The 27,590-nt window shown below is 36.1% G+C and overlaps 1 protein-coding gene across 16 annotated transcripts in view; it reads left to right on the top strand.

Annotated features, from left to right (window-relative positions):
* STK3 (serine/threonine kinase 3) overlaps positions 1-27,590 on the top strand; it is a 598,636-nt gene that overhangs the window by 380,714 nt on the left and 190,332 nt on the right. For all 16 annotated transcript variants that reach the window (XR_007060753.1, XR_007060752.1, XM_047422133.1 and 13 more), the window contains one exon: positions 13,736-13,928. Coding sequence is in view for 14 of the 16 variants with exons in the window: in XM_047422133.1 (XP_047278089.1) it covers positions 13,736-13,928 (193 nt within the window). In the remaining 2 variants the exon portion in view is untranslated. The remainder of the gene's footprint in view (positions 1-13,735; positions 13,929-27,590) is intronic.

The following is a 27,590-nucleotide window of genomic DNA, read 5'->3' as shown; positions in this document are numbered from 1 at the left end:
ATTTGCCATTTATATATCTTTGGCAAAGTGTATGTTCAATATTTTTCCCCATTTTTAAATTGTGTTGTCTGTTTTCTTATTGTGAATTTTTAAGAGTTTGTGTATTTTGGATACGAGTCCTTTATAAAGTAAGTATTTAACAAATATTTTCTCCCATTTTTGATTTGCCTTTTCATTCTTTAATAGTGTCTTTCACAGAGCAGAGATTTCTAGTTTTTAGTTTTTGCCTTTTGTTTTTTTAGAGACAGGGTCTCATTCTTTCGCACAAGCTGAGTGCAGTGGATGATCATAGCTCACTGTAGCCTCAAACTACAATCCTCCTGCCTCAGCCTCCTGAAGTACTGGGATTACCAGGCATGAGCCACCATGCCCAGCTGAAGTGTTTAGTTTTATTATGATGATACCAGCTTTTTTCCATGGATCATGCTTTTGGTGTCTATAAATTCACTACCAAACTCAAGGTCCCATAGATTTTCTCCTGAGTTTTCTTCTATAGGTTTTATGGTTTTGCATGTTATATGGGTCTTTGAAGCATTTTGAGTTAATTTTTGAGAAAGCTGTAAGGTCTATATCTGGGTCCTTTTTTTTTTTTTCCGTATGGATATCCGGTTGTTCTAGCACCATTTGATTAAAAGACTGTTCTTTCTCCAATGAGTTGCCTTTGTGTCATTTTCAAAAATCTGTTGACTATATTTGTGTAGGTCTGTTTCTGAGCTCTTTATTCTGTTTCAATGATACATCATTGATATATGTGTGTATTCTTTTGCCAGTACTGTGCTGTTTTGATTACTGTAGTGTTATAGAAGTTTTAAGATTGGACACTGAATCTTCCAATTTTCTTTTTCCTTTTCTTTTCTTTTTTGGACACGGCATCTTGCTTTGTTAACCAGGTTGGAGTACAGTGACAGCAATCACGGCTCACTGCAGCCTTGACCTCCTGGGCTCAAGTGATTTTCTCACATCAGCCTCCCAAGTAGCTGGGACTGTAGGCGCATGCTGCCACATGTGGCTAATTTTTGTATTTTTTATAGAGATGGTGTCTTGCTGTGTTGCCCAGGCCGGTCTCAAACTCCTGGGCTCAAGCAATCCACCCACTTCAGCCTCCTAAAGTGCTGGGATTACAGGTGTGAGCCTCTTCTCCTGGCCAAATTTTGTTTTTCTGATTCAGTATTGCCTTGGCTGTTCTAGGCCTTTTGCATTTCCATAGAAAGGATCATTTTGTCAACATTTCTAAATTAACTTCCTGGAATTCTTATTGGGATTGAATGAAATCTATACATCAAGTTAGGAAGAAATGGCATTTTAACAGTATTGAGTCTTCAAATTCATGAACATGGGGTGTTTCTCAATTTATTTAGATCATCTTTTATTTTTTGCATCAGTGTATACAGATCCTGTACATGTTTTAATATGTTAGACCTAAGTGGGTTTTTTTTCTGTTGAAATTTTTTTTAATTTCAAATTTCAGTCATTTATTGCTGGTATGTAAGAAAGCAATTGACTTTTGTGTATTGCCCTTGTATCCTGTGACGTTGCCACACACACTAATTTTTATTAGTTCTAGGAGTTTTTTGTAGATTCTGTGAAATTTTCTACACAGACAATGATGTCATCTGCAAATATAGATAGTTTCTTTCCAATCTTTATAACTTTTTTCTTATTGTACTAACTAGACCTCAGTTTTCTTTTAACTTTAATATGTTTCTGTATCCTCACTATGTTTCCTTGTCTCCCTGGTTCAGAGGTTATATATTTTTCCCATTTATAAATATGGATATGGAAGAAAAATAAGACATGGTAATTGCCTATAAGAAGATTGCAATCTAATGAGTGAGACAAATAAACTGATAACTGATCATAATGCAATGTAGCAAGTACTGTGATAGAGGTATGCATGAACAGTAATTGTTTTATTGCTCTTGGTTTTCTTTTTACTTCCCTCAAAAGGCCCCTTCTCTGCTTGTTTCTTTAGTCAGCTACATTATCCCTTTCTTCTGGGCCCTTTTTCCTCATTCAAAATATAGTTATCCTTTGACCATTTAAAAAATAAGGGAAAAAACAACAAATTATTTACAACTAAACTTCTTGATAGCATAGTCAGAGCCTTTGTTTTTTCACTTTGCACTTACACTGTGGCTGAAGTATTCTCCAGCAGTATTCTCTCCAAGGCGTATTTCTGTGTAAGATGAGATCACTTTAGCAGTTATTTAATTTGCGATGTCCATAGGTCATTTAAGTCATTTTGTGTAGCAGGCAGTTGGATACAGCGGTCTGAATCCCAAGGGAGAACTCAGGCAAATTAGGAAATCAGTGCTTTCCGCAGTTGGTAGTTAAACCATGAGCATAGATTGGATTGCTCAAAAAGTGGTTAAAGAAAAGTGTAGGTTGCTGCTTTTGTCTTGACATCCTAGCCATTGCCTCCTCTGGAAAGAGGAAGCCTTTCATGGGGCTCCTCCAGGCTTCAGTTTGGCAAGTGCTCCTCTGTGTTCACCATGGAATACTGCGTTTAGCTCTGAGAATATTTATCTCACTGTGTTTGTCTATTTTGTAACTCCCCATTAAACTATACATTTCTCAAGGAAAAGATTATACCTTAACACACTTGCCTGGCACACAGCAAACATTTATTACATAAATATTTAATTGGTAAATACTTATCAAATCAAGAAACACGTGTATAAAACTGTTTTAAACAGGTTTTGCCTGACTTTTACTCATCATTAAGGATAGTGCCAGCCACAAAATCATCAACACAGAATGTATTTGCATTTAATAATTAATAAGGTGTATACTTGCACATGAAGTATTTCTTCAGCAATGCTTAAGTCAAATGTGTGAAAAATATTTGGGTTGTGGGGGAGATTGTTTTTTGTTGCCCTGACATTTTTCTGCCCCAGAATTTCATTTTTATCAGGAAGTTCAGTGATGTAAACTGTATGTTAAAATCAATATTGTTACTTTAGCATGTTTCAAGTAGTCTTCTTTTGAATTGTATGTTTTGGAAATTTTCTAAAATTATTTTACAAAATTATATCTAAGTTTATGTAGGTGATATTTCTGTTGTTAAAATTTAAACAATAAAAATACAATTTATGTATTAAAATTTCTGTTTACTACCAACAAACCAAAAAGAACAACAACAAAATTTCTGCTAACTCTTAAAAATACTATCATAATGGAAGAGAAAAGGAATGAGAGAAAGAAAGAATGAAGAAAAGAAAAAAATCTTTTTAAAGACCCTTTAGCCCTTAGTTGTATTTGTTCTAAGAACATAAGATATATACAATCATAAATCTTTTCATATAAAAGCAATTTAGAATGAAGTTTTGATAAATTAATATGAATATTCATTATTTACTTTTGTATACTTCTATAAATTTTGTGGAATCACCACCTGTTCATTGAGTTCATGCTATTATATGCAAGTGGAGGTTACTGAATGTGAAAGACATTTGTTGTCCTTGAGGAACATAAACATTGCTTATATAAAGGTATCAACATGACAGTGGTTACAGTATTTTTAAATATATCACTGCTTAAAAATGTATCAAGAAACCATTAGCCTATTTCTGAAAGCTATTGATGGTATGTTAGTTAATGTAATAACCTATTTTATAAACCTATTTGTGTAAATCTCCAAATAGTGGAATTTTAGTCTTTTGTCTTTGGTTCCCTCTTGTGGATGTTTTATAAACTGCTTGTAAGAACACAACAGTTTTTAAAGGTGTCATTCTTATTTTAAAATATTTGATTTTATAAGTTTCTTTATATTTGTCAATCCTTTGACATGCTTTTGGCTGTGAAAGAAAAAAGAAATGTCACGGTTAAGGTTGCTTTTACTTTTAATTTACTCTATTGTATATTAGTATTGTGCACAGGAGATGTAAGGTAATCTTTTGTTTGGAAACTTCTCCTATAATGCCAAAAACTTGTACAGTCTTGCATCATGGAGCCTCTGAAGTCCTGCCCACATGCCTTTTCACCAATTAGGCTTGTTATACTGATGAATAAGTCTTTTATGACGTTTGGAGATCCTGAAAGCTTTGATGTAACTTTAAAACATGCCTGTGAATGTGCAAAAAGTTAGGATCCATGAAGTTTCTGTTTGCTAAAGACAGGTATGTCAAAGACAGCAGCTGTATAAGCTATTAAGCTGATTTCGTAGTGAAAGGGAAAGACCACCTACTTACAGCAGTGAGAAGACAATTAATTCTTTTTATAGATTTTCAGATACTGTAAATCTTAGTTTTTAATGGGTGAATACCAATTTGTTACTTTTTTCAGCCCGTCAGACATTGAAGTGGCACTTAAGGGCGGCTATTTGAAAGAGACTATTTTTGATGTTTTCTCAGTAATTTTTAGCTCAGTTGGATCAGAGTTACCAGTTGATCTACTGTGGGCAATTTCACTTGGAACACAGAAACAACAAACAGGTACAACCTTGTGTATTAATAACAAGGACAATGGGATAACTGCTATCCTTTACCAGAGTTGGAAGTACAGTTTCAAGGTAATGCTCTGTTGGTCACATCAGTAGTTTCACCTTGCTATAGGAAAGAGTGTTTTTAGTTTAGTAGGAATCTTACATGATTCGAGACATACAAGCAAATGTACGATAGTACCCTTTGATTTTTGCCTTTCTAACTCAGTGATTAAAATATATTTATCGACCTAGGTTAACATGTTAGCATCAAGCAGTCACCAGCCCCCGAATTCCGTTATGCATGAGGAAAGAAGTGAAAGATTCTTACCCTAGTTTTCCCCAGTTTTGTGCTCATCTTGCAGTTGCATTGGACATGCCTTGTTGATTTCTTACTTGATGGGAAAATGAATAATTAGATTTCATTTCCTTGATCATATGGTCAAGTGACAAAGTATAGTAAGTCATTTTTTGATTACAAATAACTGGTGTTACCTATTTTATTCAAATTAAAATCTCTCTCAACTTTCTCTTTAGATTCAGTTTGATCTCTTTAGGTTCTGAATATTGGAGTTATTGTTGATCCATTATATTTGACTGCCTAGAAACTTTCTAGAAAATGTTAATTCCTCTTTGGTGATTTCTTTCAGATTCAGCTTGTCATTTCTGTTACTATATGACCCTTTTTAGTACAGGCTCTAATTAATTATCCTCAAATCTGGATTCTAGTAATAACCGTCTGATTCTAGTCTTTCTCCAGTCTTTCCCTTCTCCAAATCATCTTTTAGTTCCCAAGGTTCCTATCACTCCTTTGCCAAGCAACTTATGCTGGGCTCCCAGTGTTGAAAGCATCCATGAGCTGTAGGACATTCCCTAATTCAATCAAACTTACTCATTGCTTTCCATTCTAGCTGGAATATTTCTACTTTTGTTCTCGGTTATTTCTGCAGTTTAGAATGCCACTGTCTATTCTTCCCTAATTTTACCCCAAGATCCAGCTTTCTAAGGGGACTAAATTAATTCTAAGGAGCAAGGGCATCTTAATTCTGTTGTTTGTTCTTTCTACCCATTCTCAGTGGCTTGTTTACTCATGTATTTATCTTTGGGATAGTGAGTTCACGTTTGGCTAGATTTTATCTCTGAGAATGGTGTGAGTTGAGGGTTCAGTATGCGTCCCTGTAATATGGATTTGTATTTGTTTCTATCAGGCACCTGGGGTGCTACCTTACTGGGGCTATATTTGGTTAACTTCTCAGTTTGAGGTTCCCCTAGAGCGTGTGAGTGATGTAAAATTGAAGGCCTAAACCATGGTTATAAATTCTAAAGGGAGGCTTCCCAATCCCTGTCCCCTACCTTAGGGAGGCTTCCCAATCCCTGTCCCCTACCTTACCTAGCTCAGGTAAGACTTGTCATCTCCTTTGCCACTGGGTAAATTGTTTCTTGCCTATCCTTTTGCTGAGGATGTAGACTTTCAAAATTCCCAATTTTAAGTGGAGGTTTCATTTCTACTTTGGAAAGAATCCAAATACTTCCCTTTTCCCTTTTATCTGTTAAAATATAAACCTTATTTAACCACTAATCCCCCACCCCCATCATCACATGCCTCTAAAGAAGCCTTCAAGTTAGATTTGGCTTATTACCATAGCTCCGTTTTGAGCCCTTACTATCTTGAAAACTCAGCTATGTATTTGTAGTATGTTTGTTACATTTATTGTTTGCTGTTTAATTAGCACCTTTAAGAGGTTTTAAAAATATTTAGACCACTATAATGCAACTTTTTGTATAATTGTTTCAAGTATATATTTTACACGTTTTTTTCTGAAGAATATTTTTTTCATGCTATAGCAGAATGCATACTCGTTAGAATTGTCCAGTTGAATGAAAGCCATTAAGATCACTGCTCTGATACTGATACTATGCTGTTATGTGATTGCATGTGCAATAAAGAAGTGTTTAATGTCATTTTAAGAAGAAAAATAAAATTAGAATATTTTCCGTTTAGGACACCTGTTTAAGGAGTAGTCTAACTGTCTCACTAAACAGGTATCCTAACTGAGAAATATTCTATTTTTATATTCTAAACATTTTGAGAATATAGAAACAATTTTATATTCTAAAGTATTTGTCTTTTGTGACACTAATGACAAATTAGTCTCACAAGTGATAAATACTTTTTATCCTTAATTCAGTCAATTACTGAGTATTTAGAAAATGCTTTAAGGTAGTAGATATTACAAATATCTACTAGTAGATAATGCAAAATCTCTGATTATTTCTCAGGCTGTTTTAGCATAAGCATGTCTTAGCAGTGGAGTAGGATTTCCTAATAATGTTTTCAAATATTTGTATTCCATGTGGATTTTATGATTCATAAACTGGATTATCATCAGTACTGTGTTTTGCATTCCTGGCACATGATGGCCACTGATTGAAAATGCTATTGTATTCCTTACTGGAATTGGCTGCTTTCTACAGTGGGGAAGCATCTGTTCTGCAGACCTTTTTCTATGAAGTATCAACATGTTTTTCTTCTGCTTTTCTTTTGTGAGGAATAACAGAGTATATGTAAGTGAAATATAATTTTGAAAAAACATAAATGTTTCATTATAAAAATATAAAAAGTATCAAATGAAATTATAATACTAATCTAAAATATCAAGAATAAGTTAAGAATTTTAAAAAGTAAAAGCTGTGGCTTAAAAGTTTTCAACACCATCACCAAATTATAAGTGAGTTTTCTAATTTCGTTTAACTAGTTATCATTCCATCTGTACTTTATTAATTTCTATTTGTGTGTCACCCTCTCATTAGTGAATTGAGTGTTCATGCTATTTTTATTGCTATTTTTTACTGTCAATTTGTAAATTAGATTAGCATTCTTTAGCAAATTGACTACGTAAGTAAAAATAATATGCAGTAAGATCAATCCCTTCCAAACTTAATTCAATGTTTTTACAATTTTATCTAAGCCAATTGTGTGAATCCAGAGGTTCAGGCTTTATTGTCCCTTTGTAGATTCAACTCTAATGTAGAATATAGGGAGGCTAAGGACTATTTTATACCAATCAGATGTTATGTTTCTTGTTAAGTTTAATGGTCACAGCATTGAATCTCACAAGGATAAGAGAAAAATGACTCACACGTGTTAAAATAGAGTTAGTGTTTTGGGAATAAACTGGTTGCAACCGTGACAAAATAAGATATTCAACCAGCAGATTTGAAAAAAGGAACTGATAGAAAATCATCTTCATCTCTTTACTTCGGAAAATGAAACATGTTCTTGCAAACCTGTAGTATGAGTTAAATGGGGCTTGAGAAATGCTGTAGATAGTTTAAAAGCCTTACATAATTAGAAGGTAGGTCTTAGGCTTTAGAATTAGACCTGCCTAGAATTCTTGCTTCTCTACTTATTTGTTGTATGACCTTGGACAAATTATGAAACCTATTTGAGCCTCAGGTTCCTTTGCCTAAGAGGAATAATAGCACCTCTGAGGGTTAATAAGAGACTTTTTTTTTTTTTCCCTTTGGGATGGAGTCTCACTCTGTCTCCCAGGTGCCATCTTGGTTCACTGCAACCTCTGCCTCCCGGGTTCAAATGATTCTCCTGCATCAGCCTTCTAAGTAGCTGGGATTACAGGAACGTGCCACCATGCCTGGCTAATTTTTTGTATTTTTAGTAGAGATGGAGTTTCACTATGTTGGCCAGGCTGGTCTTGAAATCCTGCCATCAGGTGATCCAACCACCTCGGCCTCCCAAAGTGTCGAGATTAAAGGCGTGAGCCCCCATGCCCAGCCGAAAGAGAATTAAAAAGACCTTAGCATAGTGCTTCTAACTCATTGATAAGTGTTTTTTCATTATTAAATAAATGATCAACTGAATAATTGTAGTTAATGGCATTATTTCCTGTCCCAAAGTATAATATCTTTAATAGCTATTCTATGTTTTATAATAAGAACATGTTACTAGAACCTCATAAAATTGTCCTTCATTCTGTGTTTTGGCATTACCTCATAATGAGGCATTTAACATTCATTCAATAAATTACATAATAAGAACATTGCTTTTTACCAGACATCAGGAATACAACTGTAAACAAGATGTGGTTACTGCCCTTATAGATTTGAGAGTCTAATGGGGGATTTAGACAAGGTAAGTGAATAGACAATTACAGTACTGTAAAATCAGCATAAGCACAGAGTACTATGGGAATACAGAGGCATGACACCTAATTCAATCTTGGGGTGTCTGAGCTGAGAAGGAATGTGTCTGAGTGTAGTTCTAATGTAAAAAGTTGTAAAACACTCCACCCAAATGTATCTGTTGTATGTTAAATATATAGTCTACTCATCTTTTAAGAGCTGACTCAAGTTCAGCCTCCTCTGTGAGACCTTCTTCACTTTCTAAAGGCAGAGTTAGAGGCTCTACTCTTGGTATTCCCATTTTACTGTCAACACTTTTCTTGTAGCACTTAATAGATTGTCCTGTAACTTATTGTTCACATGGTAGTAGATTTCCCTTAGATCTCAAACTCCCTAAAAACTGAAATGGAATTAAACTATCTTATTCATCTCCAATGTCTGGTGTACTACTTGATGTACAATAAATGCTTGTTGGATGATTAATAAGTGAAAATATAAATTGATTTATTCATTAAATAAATATTTATCAAGTACCTACTGTATGCTAGGTGTTTTAATAATGAGGATTCAGAGGTTAAAACAGTCTCTTGTCTTCATCAGACTTACATTCTAGTGGTCGTAAAGGCCAGATATAGACTGTGAAGAATACAGAAGAATGGAAAATGATGGAGGCTTTAGTTTAGATTGGTGGTCAGAAAAAGCTTCACCGAAGAGGTCACAGCTAAATAGATACCTGAGTTAAATAAATTATCAAACTGATTTATGGATGAGCATTCCAGTCTGAGAGATCAGCCAATTTAAAGGCTCAAAAGGAAGAACATGTTTAGAATGCTCAAGAAACAGCAAAGGAGGTCAGCTTGGTTAGAGCTTGGTGAGCAAGAAGGAATGTGATAGGAGATGGGATTGGCAGATATTACTAGATGGGATAGGCCAGATCACATTTGGACATGATAAAGGTTTTGGATCTTATTCTAAGTGTGATAGGAGGCCAAATGCAGAGTTCTTAGCAGGAGAGTAACATGTCATTTGTCTTCTGAAGGGATCAATCTGCCTATGTGAGTGAGACTAAAAGGGGCAAAAATGGAAACAATAAGAACAGTCAGTAGGCTATTTTCATGCTCCAAGTGGGAGAAGATGGTGGCTTGGACTAGAATGGATGGAATAATTTATATGGGACTCTGGGAATAGAAGGTGGTGATATAAGCTTTTAAAAATTGTGAGCTTACATCTCCAACTTAAGCATTTGAGTAGAGAAAAATTTAAACATAATTCAGGTACATGTATATAGTAGAATAATGGGCTAAGAAATAAAAGAACTTGTTTCTTAGTCCCAGACCTACTTTTAAGTAGGTGTGTGACCTTAGGGAAGTCTCTTATTTTCTGTGGACCTCAGTGTTTTCAGATATAAAATGATGGTTTGAATTAGTTTCTCTCTAACTGTAAAGGTCCTTGATTTTATAATTCCATGAAAAAGTCAATATGTATTGAACGTGTCAACCTAAATAGCAAAGACTCTCTAAAAGAAAGTAACATTTATTTTAGAATAGGGCAGTGCGAGTAAAGGTGCTATACAAAACAATGTGCATATTCGGGGGGTAAAGGAAGACAAAGGTTTTTAAAGGAAAAATGGGGAGAACTGCCTAATTGTTTTGAAGTGCTTATCCTTGTGCGCCAGTCTGTGGTTGGATAGGCAGTTGCTGGGTAGATGTCCTCGCAGTATTTTTCATGTAAGATTGCAATGGCCTTTGTGCAAGATAGTGGTTCTGGCAGTCTTTTGTGATAGCTTTCGCTATCAGGCATTTATGCATGAGGACCATCTCTTTATGGCTTTCCCTTGCTCCATTTGTCAGGGTTGGTTTTTGTTTGTTTTTTTGTTGTTTTAAACAGAAATGACTTCATTTTGATTCTGACAACTTTCACAAACCCTTACTGTGTTTTGAATACTGAATGAAGCACTTTAGTGGATTCAGAGGTACTCTAAGACATTCTTGTCCATAGGGTACTTACATTTATAAAAGATTTTGCAAAACAATTGCTTGCAATATGAGATCATAAATTGAATACAGAAGTGTCTAATGCCGGTTGTAAATTCTATGGAAGTTTAGAAAAGAGAATAATTAACAAAGACTGAATTAGCCATGGAAGTAGTAGATACTTGATCTGAAACTAGGTATGATTTAGTTAAATGGATAGAGGGGAAGGACCTTCTGGATAGAGAATAAGACGTACACAAAGGAAGTCTTTAATGAACATAGCATCATATGGAGTTATGGCAAAGAGATTCAGTTAAAGTCCAGCCTGCCTGTATTGGAGGTTATATGAACAATGGGAAAATAGGATTGGTCCATAGAAGACATTGAAATTTAGGCAGAAATGTTTAGCTTTAATGAAGGCAGGAACTGGGAGCCATTGTAGATTCTTCATTAGAATGATAGAAATAGTATTCAAGAAAGGTTAGTATAATGCCGTGTACTTTGAGGAAGGTGTGAAACTACCTTGTTCCAGGTAGCATGCAGGCATTTTGCTTACCTTTTTATTTAATCATCAATCTTTGGAGACAAGGATCCTATGCCTCATAAGTGATTTGAGCCAGGATTTGAACTAATGTCTGTCTGACTCTAGAAAGTTAGATGGGAGAGTCCTCAGTCAGGAAGCATTAGCTGCAGTAAACCACCTATGATGTAGTGAGGATTATACCCAGTAGCAGTGGGAATGGAAAAGAAGAGATGGAGCTAAGAGAGAATTATTTAAAGAACTAGTTGACTGATGCATATATAGGGAATGAAAGAGAAAATAAATGTAAGAAGACATTGAAGTTTTATGTAGCAAGTGAAGATTACCATGCTTTGTGGTGGTTGTTGGGGATGGAGACAGATAGGAGAGACTGGAGAGATAAATGAAATAATATCTGATTTGGGACTGTCAAATTTTAGACATCTTTAAGTATTTACGTAATAAGTAAAGACATAGGAAGATTTCAGGATTTGAGACTCCTCAACTTATTAGATAGTTGAAGGCATGAGAATGAAGAGGTCTTCTAAAAGAGAAAGGATCATGAAAGAAGTGCAAACGACTTTGAGACCTAATGCCCAAGCTTAGCATGTAGGTTTAGGAAGAGGAAAGGTATCAAACAGCTGTCCAACTGTTGTTATATTATACAACCCAAGTTGCTGAAACTCAACATTGATGTTCTCAGATTTGCATTTTGACCTCTGCCAGAACTAGATTTTGCTTATATGTTTCTACTAAAAATGGAATAAATATAAATGAATTTCCGTGCGTAATCAAGTTTTTCTAAATAGCAGATTCTTTGGTCCTTTCTTTCTTTTTGAAATGGGGTCTTGCTCTGTCACCCCGGCTGGAGAGCAGTGGCACCATCATAGCTCACTGTAGCCTCAAACTCTTGAGCTCAGGCAGTCTTCCAGCCTCAGCCCATCAAGTAGCTAGGACTACAGGCACACCACCGTGTTCAGCTAATTTTTAAATTTTTTGTGGAGGCAAGGTCTTGCTGCATTGCCTAGGCTGGTCTCAAACTCCTGGCCTTCTGCCCTGACCTCCCAAAGCACTGTGATTATCAGTTGGTCTTTCAAACAGGATTTGTTAATTTATTTTTATGACCCTATTCCAGTATATCTTTGGTGAATGTTCTAAAGAGCACTTTTAATTTGTACTTTTATTACTGACTTGATTCTTCTGTGAAACATTTAAAAGCTGAGATTTGTCAACAAAAGCAAAAAATTGATAAATCAGACTTCATCAAAATTAAAAACTTACATCAAAAGACGCTATAAATGAAGTAAAAAGCACACAGAATGGGAGAAAATATTTGCAAATTATATCTCTGGTAAGGAATTAATATCCAGAATTTGTAATAACAACAGAAAAACCAAACAACCCATTTTAAAATGGGTAAATGGATATTTCTCCAAAGAAGATATACAAATGGCTAATAAGCGTGCGAAAAGATTGCTCAACATCAGTAGTCATTAGGGAGATGCAGATCAAACTACAATGTGATAACACTTCATGTTCATTAGGATGGCTATTATTTTTTAAAAATGGAAAATAACAAGTGTTGCCAAGGATGTGGAGAAGTTGGAATCCTGTGCATTGCTGGTGGGAGTGTAAAATGGTATAGCCACTGTGGAAAACAGTTTGGGCACTTAAAAAATTAAATATGAAGTTACCATGTGATCCAGCAATTGTACTTCTAGGTAGATACCCAACCAAACTGAAAATAGGGATTCAAACAGATACTTGTAGGTCAGTGTTCACATTAGCACTATTCACAGTAGCCAAAGGTGTCAACAATCCAAATGGCCATCAACAGATAAATAGGGAAACAAAATGTGGTGTATTCATACAATGGAATATCATTCAGCCTTAAAAAGGAATGAAATTTTTCTACCACAATATGCATGAATCTTGAATGCATTAGGCTCAGCAAAATATATTGTATGATTCCACTTACATGAGGTATCTAGAATAGGCAAATTCATAAGTATAATAGTAATTATGAATTAGTACTATGGTATGAATAGTAGTACTCATGAATTTGCCTATTCTAGATACCTCTTGTAAGTACAATAGAGGTTGCCAGGGCTGGGGAAAGGGGGAATGAAGAGTTCTGTAAACATATAATGGTGGTGGTTGCACAACATTGTAAATATACTTAGTGCTACAGAGTTATACACTTAAAAATTGCTAAAATGGTGAATTTTATATATATGTATTTGTATATTTTGCCATAATTTAAAAGAAAAAGCTAATGGCTGTTTTACAAGGTTATAGACATCATTATGCCCATTATAATACAAAGTGTCAATGTGTTCTGTCTTAAAGGTGCTCTCATATATATTTAGTTGTTTTGTCACCATATTCTTTGTTATGCATTTGCTGATAGTTTACCTATCTTAATCCTTATTTTAAAAGCAACTAGCAGCCTTCTACTTCATCAGTTTCTGTTGCTTGATCTGTAATTACCTAAAGCTTTAGGTTATTTTGAATAATTTTCACTCTTAAAATAACATTTGTATGTATGTATTTATATTAAAATCAGTACTAATAGTATTTTTAATAAGTATTAAAACTATAATATATTCATTCTCTTGTTAAGAATTAAGAAATCCAGCTGTCATAGAAAAGTCTTCCCTCATTGCAGTATTTTGCTTGCAGGATGAAGATGAGCTGGATTCCCACACCATGGTGAAGACTAGTGTGGAGAGTGTGGGCACCATGCGGGCCACAAGCACGATGAGTGAAGGGGCCCAGACCATGATTGAACATAATAGCACGATGTTGGAATCCGACTTGGGGACCATGGTGATAAACAGTGAGGATGAGGAAGAAGAAGATGGAACTATGAAAAGTATGTGGCTTTTTTACATTAAATATTAGTTTTCTAATTCGAAAGGATACTTTTATAGGAACCAGGCTAGTTCTGTGTTACTTTTTATAGCCAACTGTGGAAAATTTTGTTTCTTAGATTTATGTAACAGTAAAAAAGAGTATGGCACAAGTCACCTTTTTAAAATTGTATTTTAATATAGCAGAAAACAACACATCTTCAACTTAGAGTTATGGAACTTTTTTCTGTTGAAGGTTGCTAACCCACGGCTTAATTTGCAAAGTATTTTAGAGAGAAAAAGATAGTGTTCCTAACATTTACTTTCCCAATTAAAAAAGTGAACCTAAAATTATCTTCCAGTAAATTCAACAGACTATTATTTTATGTTGTCCAAATTATCAGTTAAACCACAAAGAGCAGTGCGAGCTATGGGAAGAAATAAGGTGGGAAAATAAGAAGCACTAGAAAGAAGGATTAAGAGACAGGGATGCTCATACAGAAGATTCAGTTGCATGAATATTTACTGCTGCTTATCATATGTGAGGCACAGTGCTGGGGGTGCTGCAGTGGCTAAAATGATGATCAAACATTCTCTCTGACCTCTGTTGCTTACAAAGTGATGACAATAGGAATGCTTTCACAGACTAGCACTTCTCTTTTTTAAAAACAGTTTTTTAAGATACTGCAGTTAACATCGTAGGTCATTGTGATTTCACAGTTATAGGCAAAAATGAATTTTCTCTTAGCACCAACTGACCTTTTTCTTCCTGTCATGCTCCTACCCTAGTCCTGTGTGGTTAGTGTCAAAGTCTAAGCAAGCACTAGGCTGCTTTCCACTGAAGAGTATTGCCTCTCCATGGCAGAACAGCAGAATTACATGACTTCTAGCATTGTAGAACCTAGAAAATTGTAAATATTCAAGTGATTTGCTGGTACTGCAAAATGGATACCAGAATTTTCTCTCAGATACTTCCATTTCCTTTTTGCCCACCCTTTTCTTTTTGCTACTCCGCCATGAGGTCTGACCCATAACTTCAAGTCACGTGGCTCAGTACTGCTGCTTTCTTCACATTCCCTAGTTCTGTGTAGCCCACTATGGTTGCATATGTACTTTGGATAGAGAGGATCATGAAGCACAAAATGTAATAGATTGCTATATTGCCATAATCCTGGGGGTGGAGTATGAATTTTCTATCTCCTGCCATTGGTGGGTCTTCTGTGCCTTTTTCCTGGAAAGCAGCCTACATCTTGGATTTCCTGAAATTCCTAGCTGGGCATCTGACTAGAGTAAGTTTTCTGCATCCATAACGTGCCTCACTCCACTGCAGAGGATGGTCTTATGGCCTCCAGAACCAGCTAGTGTTGGGGTACAAGTGGATCACAAAGACTCTGTGGTAAAACAGTTAACACATTTTTCATCAACATGTAATATCAATTTTCCATAAGCTGATATAATTTTTAACTCAAATTTTATGATTCTTAACAGATCAATTAGATCATTGAGTGCTTTTTTGTGTCTTTAGGGAGTTACTGAGCTCCTTATGAAACTATATGAACAACTTTTCATGCAGTCATATAGTTGAACATCAGCATATATATAATAGTTAAGAAAAATGAGTCTTTATAGAATCTAATTCATTTAGATTGCAGTGTATTATATTTCAAGGAAGAGAGACTAATGATGATGTTTCCGACATCATACTTTATACCACAGATTTCTGACATTTTGTATAGTGACTTTTAGATTTGACATCCACAAAAATCAATACATGTTATAATTTTGTTATAACTGATTGTATAGGTATGACTTTTTGTCACAGAGATTTTAGTGAAAACCAATTTTGAAGTTGAACAGATAAGTGGTTTTTATAGCTGCAGTTGTTTTATGGACCTCAGCAAATTTTAAATCCCATGAGCCAACTTTCTGTGTTTTTTGTTTTTACAAGTTAGACATCATTCTGTAATGTGAGACTTCAGTGTTTCCAAAATTCTAATCAAGTGATGTTAGTATAACCCCTAGGGATTGTCATATTGTAGTATAGCAGTAGTAAAGTATGTGAAGAAGTTATTGAGGGAAGACTTACTTTTTCTGAAACCATATAATTATTGTAGTTTTGTTTTTCTCGTGATCTAAATCTTTAAAACTTCTTAAATTAGTTGGTATGAGGTCTCAGCTTATGTCACATCAGTCAAAGCCACATTTGCTAATGTGTCTTTAGCATTTTTGTTCCCTAATAAGATGATAGCAGTATATTATTTTTGGTTTTCTAAAATCTCTACAATGTGTACTGAAGATTTAGAATTTCATCTCTTTTTCCATTGGAGTTTCAAGTGAGTTGCCTGATTTAACATCCTTGTCAGTTTAAATTATGTTTACACTTACTCTTTTATACCTTTAACCATGAAGCTAGAAATTATGGGCCTATTTTCCTTACCTCTAGAAAGGAAAATTACCCACAGACCCTTTGAAGGGAAGTGGAGAAAAATGACAAAAAGTATTTTAAAATTTGATCTGCCTTTTAAAAAATGGACGTGGACCCTATGGGCATGTCCCAAGAATAACTTTCTAAACCTGTTTTTAGCAATGATGGCATTACTTTTACCCTCCCGCTCCCAGTCTTCCTATTCAGATATCCCTAAGGCCTCCTCATTCCCCATGGAATGTCCAGGCTTCAGCTGTGTCACCAAGATCCTTCACAGTCTGGCACTAGCCATTATTTACATGTGGATCTCTACTTCTTCCTTATGGATTATGTTTTATCCATACTAGTCTGTGCCAGTTGGAATTCTGAATGCTTGACACTGGGTAAAAGCAGGTTGGTTGTCATTCAAGAAAATCAATTTAGGATTTATTATCCTGGAGTAGATTAGGACCAGGTCAAGAATCTATGTCATCAAACTGATGGGGTAGGAGAGATTATTTCATCATGGGTGACTCTGGGAGAGTAGTAGCTTCAGCAAAGAAAGACTGGGGCTTTTTAGTTTGTTCAGCTCAGATCTACTCAGTTAGCTCTGTTTTTATGGAGGAACTTTCTGATCTTACAGAGCTGTGGCTAGATTGGTAGCACTAGTTGCCCTGGAGGGAAACTATGTCTTATGGGTATCTGAGGAAGAGCCATATTTTCCAGCCAGGTTTTTATTTTTCATGTGTGTATCTGTTGTTTCTCCAGATAAGTCACGAAGTTTGTCCTGGTAAGAATGCTGTATAAATCTCCTCTGCCACATAATAGTACATGCTCTTGGAATATTGGTTTCATGAATGAATACTAATTACAGTAGAGTCAGAGTCAAGCTGTGTGTGTGTGTGTGTGTGTGTGTGTGTGTGTGTGTGTGTGTGTGTTATAGTAGAATTAAAGATACATAGCTCTGGAAGCTAAGAGAACTTTCAGGTAAACCTCCTGCCTTGGTAAGATACTTTCTTTTCAAGTGTTCTACCATCCCTGCTTCTCATTTCACAGAGCAGACCCTCTGAAAATGTGTTCCTTAAGATACCCATTCAGTGAAATTCTCTGATAAATATAGATAAATAATATACAGTAATCAGAATTATTTGGGAAATGCATATTTATCCTAGAGATAAATTATTAGAGAACTACAGTATATATTATTAACTTATTAAATACAAATAGTACAGGAAGGAAACAGTTTAAAAATTACATTACCCAAACTTTCCTTCACTTATTTGACCATGAAAAGCTTTTAATGAGGAACGTATCAGTGATTAACATCCTGTGTAATAAGCATCTGAGAAACACATTTTGGGAAATGCTATCATGAGAGCCCTCTAGTTCCCTGACCCTAGTTCCTAGTCTGCTTTCTTTTTATTAGCACACCCTCCCTTCACTTCTATATCCAGCTTAGAGGCTATATTTCATTATTTCGTTGCTTCTGCCACTCTCGTATGTTCTAAACTCCTCTTAGAGGCTATATTTCATTATTTCATTGCTTCTGCCACTCTCTTATGTTCTAAACTCCTCTTAGAGGCTATATTTCATTGCTTCTGCCACTCTCTTATATTCTAAACTCCACTGCCCTAATGTCTTGTCTTTTCTGCCTCTCCTGGAAAACTTTGATATGGTCCAGTCTCAGTGTTCATCTTCTCTGCATCTTTACCCTGGCTATTGAGTGCTGCTGGAGATAATCTTCCATCTGCACAGATGAGGGCTGCCAGATCAAGACCTTCTCCCCCATTTGGGCCCTCAACTTTCCTGGAGGCCTGTGTTTCTCTGTTCAGCAATTCCTCATTCTACAGAGTGGCTAGTTTAGATCTTCACTAGATCTCTTCTTCCTGCCTCCCATCTCAGTTTCAGTAGATGACGTTGCTCCCTACTTTACAGAAAAAAAGTGAAATGTTATCATGCAAGTACCTAGAGAAGCTGTATAGGTGTTTTAAATGTGGTCTTTGGAATAAGGTTGAAAAATTGAGTCATTCTTAATTTCCGTTTCTTCCTTCACCCTTCATGGAAGTAACATCTCATCAGTTCTGCCCCCTAAATATCCCTATTCTCTTCTCATGATCTCTGCTTGCATTTCTTTAGTGCAAGTCCTCATAGTTTCTCACTTGTGAGGCTTCTAAACTGATCCTCTGCCTCCAATCTTCATTCCCTCCCCACCATACAGATTTCAGCACATTTCTCTTCTGCTTATGCCCTCCCAGTGACTACCAATTGCTTATAGGCTAAAGCTCAACACCAGTTAAGAAGCAGTATATGCTCTGGTTCCTACTTACCTTTCTATTCCCTCTTCATCCTTCTTCCAGCTTCTCAGCTCTTACAGAGCTTTTTTACCTTTGGCCACTTGCAATGCCTAAATCCTCCTGTGGGATTTATGCTTCTTTTGCTAAATCATATTCATTCACTCAGGCTCAGTTAAGAGGTTGCTTCCTCTATCAACCCCAGGTTAGGAATAAGTGCCCCTCTAATAGGCTCCCATCTCACCCCAAGCTTTCACTCTTACAGCACTGTCATGCTTTATTGTGAGCGTGTGCTTTTGTTTATTTCCCACTGTATTTTTGATACCTAATACAATACCTAGCACTTGGTAAGAGTTCATGAAATGTTTTCTGAACAAATGATGTGGTATAGTGAAGAGCATGGGATGTGAAGCCAAATCATTTAGTAATTGTGTTGCTTAATTCTGTCTGAGTTTCAGTGATAAATATTTGTCTCTCTGTTGTGTGTATATGTGCAGGTGTGTGTATTAGGTAAATTCAAAACATGCCTAGCAGTGTTTTAAATATAGTTGATAATCAATAAAGGATAATATTCATCTGTCCACCCTATTAATTTATCCTTCCAACAACTTGATAAGAGGGAGCATCCGGGAAGCCCTGGGCATTGTCAGCCCTGCTTCCCATGCGGTGATAAAAATCATATCTTCCTGGGACCAGAGATGCTGAGCTATCGAGCAACTCTGTTCTTCCCACGGCAAATTCTTGCCTCCACCTTTCCCTGCCTCCTCCAAGACCTTGCTCCATCTCTCTTTTTTTTAGTAAGCTAGTCAAAGGGGCTTCTATAGAGAATGATGATCTCCAAAATGAACTGAGTAGCATCAACATGAATAAGAGGGGTTTGAATGGCAAGATGAGCAAATGCTAGAGAAGTACTCAGCGCACTTGGCATCTCCTGACCGAGAGTGTGTTTGATAATATCTATTGATACGACTTGAGATGAGAGAACTGTTTTCCACTGTTTGTGAAATTTGACATCTCTTTGAGAAAATGAGGAGAGTGTCATGGAAGTATAAAAGTACATTTACATTTTATTTTATTTTATTTTTGGAAATGGAGAAAAAGGTGAATTTCTCAGGTTATAGCTGTTACTAATTGAGCTCCTACTACAGGCCAAACACTGTGCTTAGGATTTTGTATATGTTATCTTATTTACTCCTCACAAGGATCCTATAAAATAGCATTTCACTACCATTTAGCACTAAGGAAACTGAGACTTGGGAATGCTGTTCAAGATTTCCTAGCAAGTAAGTGATGAAACCAGTATATAGACACAGGGTTGACACTAGAATCACATCACTACTCTGGGGCCAGTGAGCTCAATGTCCCTCTTGGGCAGGATTCTAGAACATTTAAGAGTCCTTTAGGAAAGATCAGGATCGTTATAAGTCAGCATAGATTACTGAGAAGAAATCGTATCAGAATAATATAATTTCCTTTTTTGACAGCATTGCTAAACTTCAAGGTCAGAGAAAATGCAGAGTTTGAATATTGTATCTTAGGATATTAGGAAAGTATTTGACAAGGTCTTTCATGATACCCTTGTAGACACTATGTAGTGTGACCTAGCTGGTGGTCCTGTTATGAGAGTGCAACAGTTATACTCAAATGTGCTTATATCAGTGAGAGTTTATTGGAGGAAACAGAATCTACTCCAGGTATTCCACACACAAAGCAATTTAAGTCAGAGATTGTATTAATGTGTTCTCATATTGCTATAAAGAACTATGTGAGACTGGGTAATATATAAAGAAAAGGGGTATAATTTGCTTATGGTTCTGCAGGCTGTACAGGAAGCATGGCTAGGGAGGCCTCAGGAAACCTGCAATCATGGTGGAAGGGGACGGGGAAGCTGGCACGTCCTACATGGCTGAACGGGAGAAAGAGCAAAGCGGGTGGGGCTATACACTTTTAAACAACCAGATCCTGTGAGAACTCAGCCACGAGACAGCACTAGGGGGATGGTGCTAAACCGTTAGAAACTACCCCCGTGATCCAATCATCTCCCACCAGTCCCCCCTCCAGCACTGGGAATTAAAATTCAACGTGAGATTTAGGTGGGGGCATAGAGCCAAGCCATATTAAAGATGTAGAAGTTAAGAAAATCAATGGAAAGCCTAGAGGAGAAGGCTGTGTAGCATAGGCTTCAAGAGTGACTCCCACAACACCACAAAAGTGAGCATATAAGGAACAACTACTACTGCCACAACGAGGAATAGCAATCCAGAGGCTACCGCTGGCGCCGCTGAGTTCAGTAATACAGATTGAAATCAACCCTCACTGCTATTTAGGGATTAGAAAGCTACTAAATATTACTGCAACCACTCCTCAGTACCTGTGAAACTGGTGACTAGATGCTAGAATGCTGCTGTAAATAATCAAGCCTCTATGACAGGGCTTGTAAGAAGGAAATAACTAAACTAGCAGGCATATAGCTTCTGTTTGCTTCCCCCCACCGCCCCCACCACCCCAGTTGCGAAAGAGTGCACTTACCCAGAACTCTAGTTGCAAGGAATTCTGAGAAATGTGGTGTTCAGCTCTCTAGCCTCTATGATACAAAGGCTCACCAGGGGCACACGGCAGTGGTTGCTAAATTTCAGTCGACTACAATGTTAAATAATAAATTGTTTACCGGAAGATTTCTCATTTTGTGATACAGGACCTCGGCCTCCAGCCCTGGCTAGCTCAAAATTTTTCATAGAAACTTGGATGAAGCTATAAGGTGAAGGTCCATCAGAATTGCAAATAACATGAAGTGGAACAAAATAAAAATATGTTATAGGATAGAACGAGGATCCTAAAAGATCACCACAGGCTGGAGCAGTGGGCTTGATTTACAAGATAAACCCTGCTTTTGGGTCCAAATAACCAGCCTCACAAGTATGTATTGTAACAGTCGCTCTTCAGAGATGCTGGTCTGAAGACTAGAGCAGGGCTTGGGCATCTCTGCTTTTAAAATACGTTTTTTAAAATTTAAAAACTCTACAAGTGCTTCTGAGGTGCAGCTAGGACAGATAACCACTTTTTAGAACAAGGAAATAAACAGCTTCCCTCTGCTCTCAGGAGCCAGAACTCACCTGGAGTATTGTGTTTAGAACTTACCTGGAGTATTTAAGAAGGCTGGAGATACACTGGAGCACATTGAACAGAGAGGCAGCTGGATGGCGATGTAGGTGGAGACCATGTTGTATTAAGAATGGGTGGAGAGGCCGGGCGCAGTGGCTCACGCCTGTAATCCCAGCACTTTGGGAAGCCAAGGCAGGGGGATCACCTAAGGTCAGGAGTTCGAGACCAGCCTGGCCAACACGGTGAAACCCCGTCTCTACTAAAAATACAAAAATTAGCTGGGCATGGTGGCATGCACCTGTAATCCCAGCTACCCAGGAGGCTGAGGCAGGAGAATCGCTGGAACCCAGGAGGCAGAGGCTGCAGTGAGCTGAGATCCCGCAACAGCACTCCAGCCTGGGCGACAGAGCAAGACTCTATCTCAGAAAAACAAAAAAGAATGGGTGGAGAAATAACCGGTTATGTTTAGGTTGTATATTATTTACTTATATTAACCTTTCATAAATGTTTATCATTTCTTAAATACTGGGTTAAATAATATTTACTAAATATACATTTTAAAAATGTCTTACCTGTATATGCATATAGTATTTGTTGATTTTGAAAATTTCAGAGTTTATTTTGGACAGCACATATATGCAGTTTTACTTAATTAGTAAGAGAAAGCAAATGAAGTTCTGCTTTAGCTTTTTAGGAGTTACTCTGGAAACGATACTAGATATTAGTGTCAGTTGAGGAGAGATACCAAGAAGAGAAGACTGACTCTACTCCCTGGTTCATCCATTGTTCCTAGACAAAATCGTGAAGTATGAGGCAATTTGTTTTGTTCTGAGCATCTACTTCCATGCCGTATTCTTTGCTTAGTAATATCTTTCTCTCGGTTCTCATATCCTTTCCTTCCTCCCTTTTTTCCCCCAAAATCTGTTTTGGAAAGAGACCAGATACACAGGAATAAAATGCCTAATAATGTTTAATGCTCATGAAATACATTTTCTCCCAGAATCGTACAGCCTTGAGCCAAAGGAGTAAATCACTAAGGATGGAATTTGAGATGCCAAGAAATAATTGGCAAGGGTAGGAGAATGTGTAGGGGAACTACTTTCTCACTTACCATTCTTTTATGAAAAACTGTTCCATTCCTCTTTAACTTAGGAGGTTAATGTTGCCCGGGATATGACAATAAAGGTGACAGCAGTAAACTACAGGTCCCTCTTGCAGCTGGGTGCAAATACCCATCATATTTCTGGGCAATTAGAAATCATTCATTTTCCTTTACAAAAGTACGAGGAATCCAGGTAAGGTGTGGCTGCAGTGGTTTGGAGTTCCCTGTGGGCACTGAGTATAGTCTACTATTCTGTGTGCTCTTGGTCCGTGGGACGTTTAACGAAGTATAACCCAGCTCAGACCTGCTGGTGTATGCATTTTGGTTGTAGGATACCTCTTTTATTAGCACAAAACACACACAAGGATGTAAATATTAGTCTTCCCTGTAAAAATGAAAATATCTTTCCTGTACAGGCCTTGGAAGAAAGCATTTTCATAGATACAGTGACCATTACAATATTCATTACTCGCACAGGAACTCCTTCCTTTTATTTAACTAAAATCTTTGGGCTTCAATTTTTGTTTCCTTCTATTCTGACTTCATTGGAGATTGAAAACAGCTGGTCACTATTTTCTGTGCAAAGAACCCTTCATAAATACTTGGATACTTATTAAGTTCTTTCTCAGACTTGACTTTTCTTGGCTGAATAATTTCAGTCTCTTTAACCTTTGTGCAGGTATTATTTTCTAAGCTTTTTAATCTTTTATGAATAGTCTGTGGACCTTCTCCATGTTATGTTTATCCTTCTTTGTTTTAAAATACAGTATGGTGAAGTTCAGGAAAAAACTGATGTCAGTAGCTTCTGTGTTAACATCCTGGTTTTTATATGTATTCACTATACTCTTGGCAGCAAATTAAAGGACACATTTCGAAGGCCATTAATGAGGTGGAACCACCCACATCTTAAAATATTTTTAGAAGAACAAATTAGGTAATCTTCATAAATCTTTTTGATGTTGACACATACTTTACTAAAGTTATGATTGTTATTTTATTCTCTAAACTTGAATATCTTTGTCATAATCATGCTAAGAAGTTAAAAATTAAATTATTTTGTTAAAGTATTTTTAAAAATTACTTTATATATTTAAATTTTTATGAGGACTTTTTACTTGTTTAGAAGATGTGCAAATTAGGAAACTTAATGAATAATTGTGGGTGGACTGACGTATTTTCTACGGTATTATATTTCTCACAATTTAGTTTACTTGTAAATGTTTTGGGGATGCATGAAGGAGATGAAAAGCAACCTTTTTCTTTAAAATTTCTTATCCACAAAGAGAATGAATGATAGTTACTTTATTCTTTATTGCTAATAGGTTTTTAGTTCCATGAGCAACTAGTTGAAGGAATTAGGGCCAAAATTGAGGAACTAGGTAATTCTGAACGTTAAAATTATTGTTAAAATAAAATGTTTTTGTAAGCTGGGGTCAGAATTCGGCTGCAGCTGGAGAAATTGATGTCAATTTTATATGATTATTCTTTTTGTGCTTAAAAAAAGTATTTGCCATAGCAACCACATCACATATGACAGTGGTTACTATCTTGAGATTTCCTGCTTTATTTTCTCATTGAAGAGCCTAGTATTTTTTTTAATAAATTGTAAGTCAGAAACATCATCCTCTCTGTCCCACTTCTGTGAACATGTATCTCCCTGGAGACTCAGCTGCGCATTGTGGCATGTGTTTCATATTGTGTAGTTAAACATTACTGGGCAATTGCAGCTGCCCCCTCCCATTAACTTTTAAAACAAACCTAACCTGTTTTCCTCTTTAAAATTTTTTAAAAATTGTTTTTTAATCTTTTTTTGTGTGTATGACAAAGAGATACTCTAAATGTTAATACTAGGTTTTAAATTAAGCAATGGAAAATATTTAGAAGTATAAGCACATACATTATACATTTGAATAAAAAATTAAGTGTAAACATATCTTGGTTAATAGTATCTTGTTATTAAATCATCCAAAAAGAAAAATCTGACAGAATAGACTCCTTCTTTTATTTAAGTTGCTTTTAAAACTTTTGTTAACTCTGTAAGAATGTTTATTTTTATCTTAGGAGTGGGTTATTTTTAAAATTTTTGAGTATGGAAGCCAAAAGGCATTTTGCCATAGGTTTTTTAGGTCAGCCTGTAAAAAAACCTTTAAAACTATAATGTATCTGAGACGTAGTGATATTTAAACTACTCTGTATAATAGTGGACTTCAAGTTTGAAATTGGGATGTTTCTGCAGTGAAACTGCAGATTGCTGCTCCTTCTGCTTCTCCCTACATCCTCCATTTGGGAATAGAAATGTATCAGTTAAGGACTGAATTTGACTGTATGTACCAATAAACCCAAATAACAGTGATTTAAACAAAATAAGATTAATTTCTTTTCTCATTTGATGAGAAATCCAAAAGCAGAGTATCCGGCACTGGCAGAGTGAGTTCATGATGTCATTAGAAATCATTTCTGTGACACCATCTTTTAGGGTATTATGCTTGTTCTCCTGCCTGCAGAGTAAATGTAGGATCTCTAGCCATCAAGTCTGTATTCCAGGCAGTAGAAAAGAGCAAAAAACAGAAAGGATTGTGCCTATATCAAGAAAACAGAACTTTCCTAGAAAACCTTACTTGATTTTTTTTTAAGAGAAGGGTCTCACTCTGTCATCTAGACTGGAATATGGTGTTTGTGATCATAGCCCATAGCTTATTGCAGCTTCAAACTCCTGGCCTCAAGCAATCCTCCTGCCTCAACCTCCCAAAATGCTGGGATTAGAGGTATGAGCCACCATACCTGGCCTAAACCCTTATTTTTATGTGTCATTAGCCAGAATTGTATTACATGGCCACTTTTTCCAATGAGATAGATACTTTCTCACCCCTAGTCAGGAAGCTAGGGATTATAGATATTAGGGAGGCAAATTTTTCACTTTGAGACACTACAACATTGGTGGTGGCTTATGTGACTTCAGTTAGAAGCTCCTGATTGGGATGTTGTCAGGAGCACGCACAAGGCTGTTGGGGTTGGAAGAGTAGATTCCTGGAATGAAATTTCCTAGTAATTTCCTTTCTTTATTTAGTCAACACCAAGGAGTAGTCTGCTTCTCCCCTTTCTGTTGCTACCACTTCTCTCTAATCAAACTGTTTCTTCTCTGACTCATTGCAGAAAAGAACATTGTCTTTCCTTCAGCCTTTTTCTTACTCTCCTCATTTCTAAAGGAAATGCCTGCTCAGCCCATCTTTCTGTTTTGAAGGTTTTTATAGAAGATTAAAATTTCCCCCACTCTGTTCTTTGTAGTGAAAAAAGCAACTTCTGAGATTTTATTTTTCTCCTTCTCCTTCCCAGTGTATGCTGCTACTCTTAATATGTAGGTCATATTAGAATAGGTGCTCTATAAATGTTAGTTTCTGGTAGGAAAAGATTAGTTTTTAATTTACTCCAATAATGGTTTGGGTGAATTTTCTCAGATAGAGGTCCAAAGTAAGAGTCAGTGGTATATCAAGAGAACCCTGACTGTTTATTACAGCACTGGGGAGTTTGTAAAGATTCTGGGATGAAGAGTTTCTTATCTCCCAGTTGAGGAGAAAACAAGACCATAACGAGAGCCTCAGCAGTGAAGCCAGTGCTGGATGAAAAAAAAAAAAAAAATTAATGAAAGCAATGTGGTCCTGGCTTGGTGTGGAGAGAGGAAGATGATCTGGGGAGGAACATAGGTCACAGAGTGCTGTTGTCTTCACTGGATTAGTAGTGCTACAATGCATGCTTTTTGTAGTTTCTATTGTTTTTGTTTTGTTCTTACCAAAGCACCTACAAATACTAAATTTACTTTTTAAAGAATGCTATCTAGAAATACGCTTCAGTGAAACCTTTCTTTTCATTATCAAATGCAGTTGATAATGGTGGTTTAGGAGTTTCTTACTTTTCCAGCAGTTAGTTTCTAAAGAAACCATTTTTTCTCTCCTCCCTGATTCTGACTTTCCTTGACAAACTTGATAACCCTTATTATATAATACTGAATGTTAAAGTTTTCAGATGTATTTATGTGTGTGACACATTTTAAGACTTCTTGATGAAAACAGAACTTACAACTAAATATATAATTCTATTACAGAATTAATCTTCCCTTTAAAAAGAAAAAGAAACAAAAAGAATATTGAGCAAAGAATTTCTTTAAGGGATTATCCCCCTTCTCCCAGCTTTATGGTTTGATTTACTCAATTGGTTTATAAAAAATATGTGTAAGTTGAGCTACACTTGTAATTTTTTTAAACTTACAAAATGGGGCAGAAATGGAGAATAACAGGTTAAATTCCTAGACTCTATTTTAGTATAAGAGGTTACCATGGGAACCGAGTTTCAATTCTGAATATAGAGAAATACGTCTTGTAATGATGAAGCCTAGAGACAAATCAAAGGTACTAAAAATCTGCTGAAAATGTTAATGGAATGTATGTGTCCTGTCTAAATGTCAGTAATGTAACCCATCAAATTAACCAATTTCTATTTTTGTTGTTGATTTCAGGGAACAAAGTTGAAGATGAACACCATAGACACCATATCTTTATTTTTAGCATATTTATTGATCGTTGAAATATTACACCTTCTCTTCTATATATTTTGTTCATTTTTAACATACTTGTAAAGTCTGTTATGACAGGAAATCTAAAGGCAGCTTTGGCTGTTTTCATGCTGAACTGTCTCTAAGGAGTTTCTTTTTCATGAGCTTTGAATGTGAGATATGAGAGTGTTCTAAGTTCTAAAGGTTTACCACAAATATTGGTGTTTTATACTATCTTAA

The sequence above is a fragment of the Homo sapiens genome, chromosome 8, assembly GCF_000001405.40.
Source record: "Homo sapiens chromosome 8, GRCh38.p14 Primary Assembly".
Taxonomy (NCBI): Eukaryota; Metazoa; Chordata; class Mammalia; order Primates; family Hominidae; genus Homo; species Homo sapiens.
This window is presented reverse-complemented; position numbering and strand designations above follow the sequence as displayed.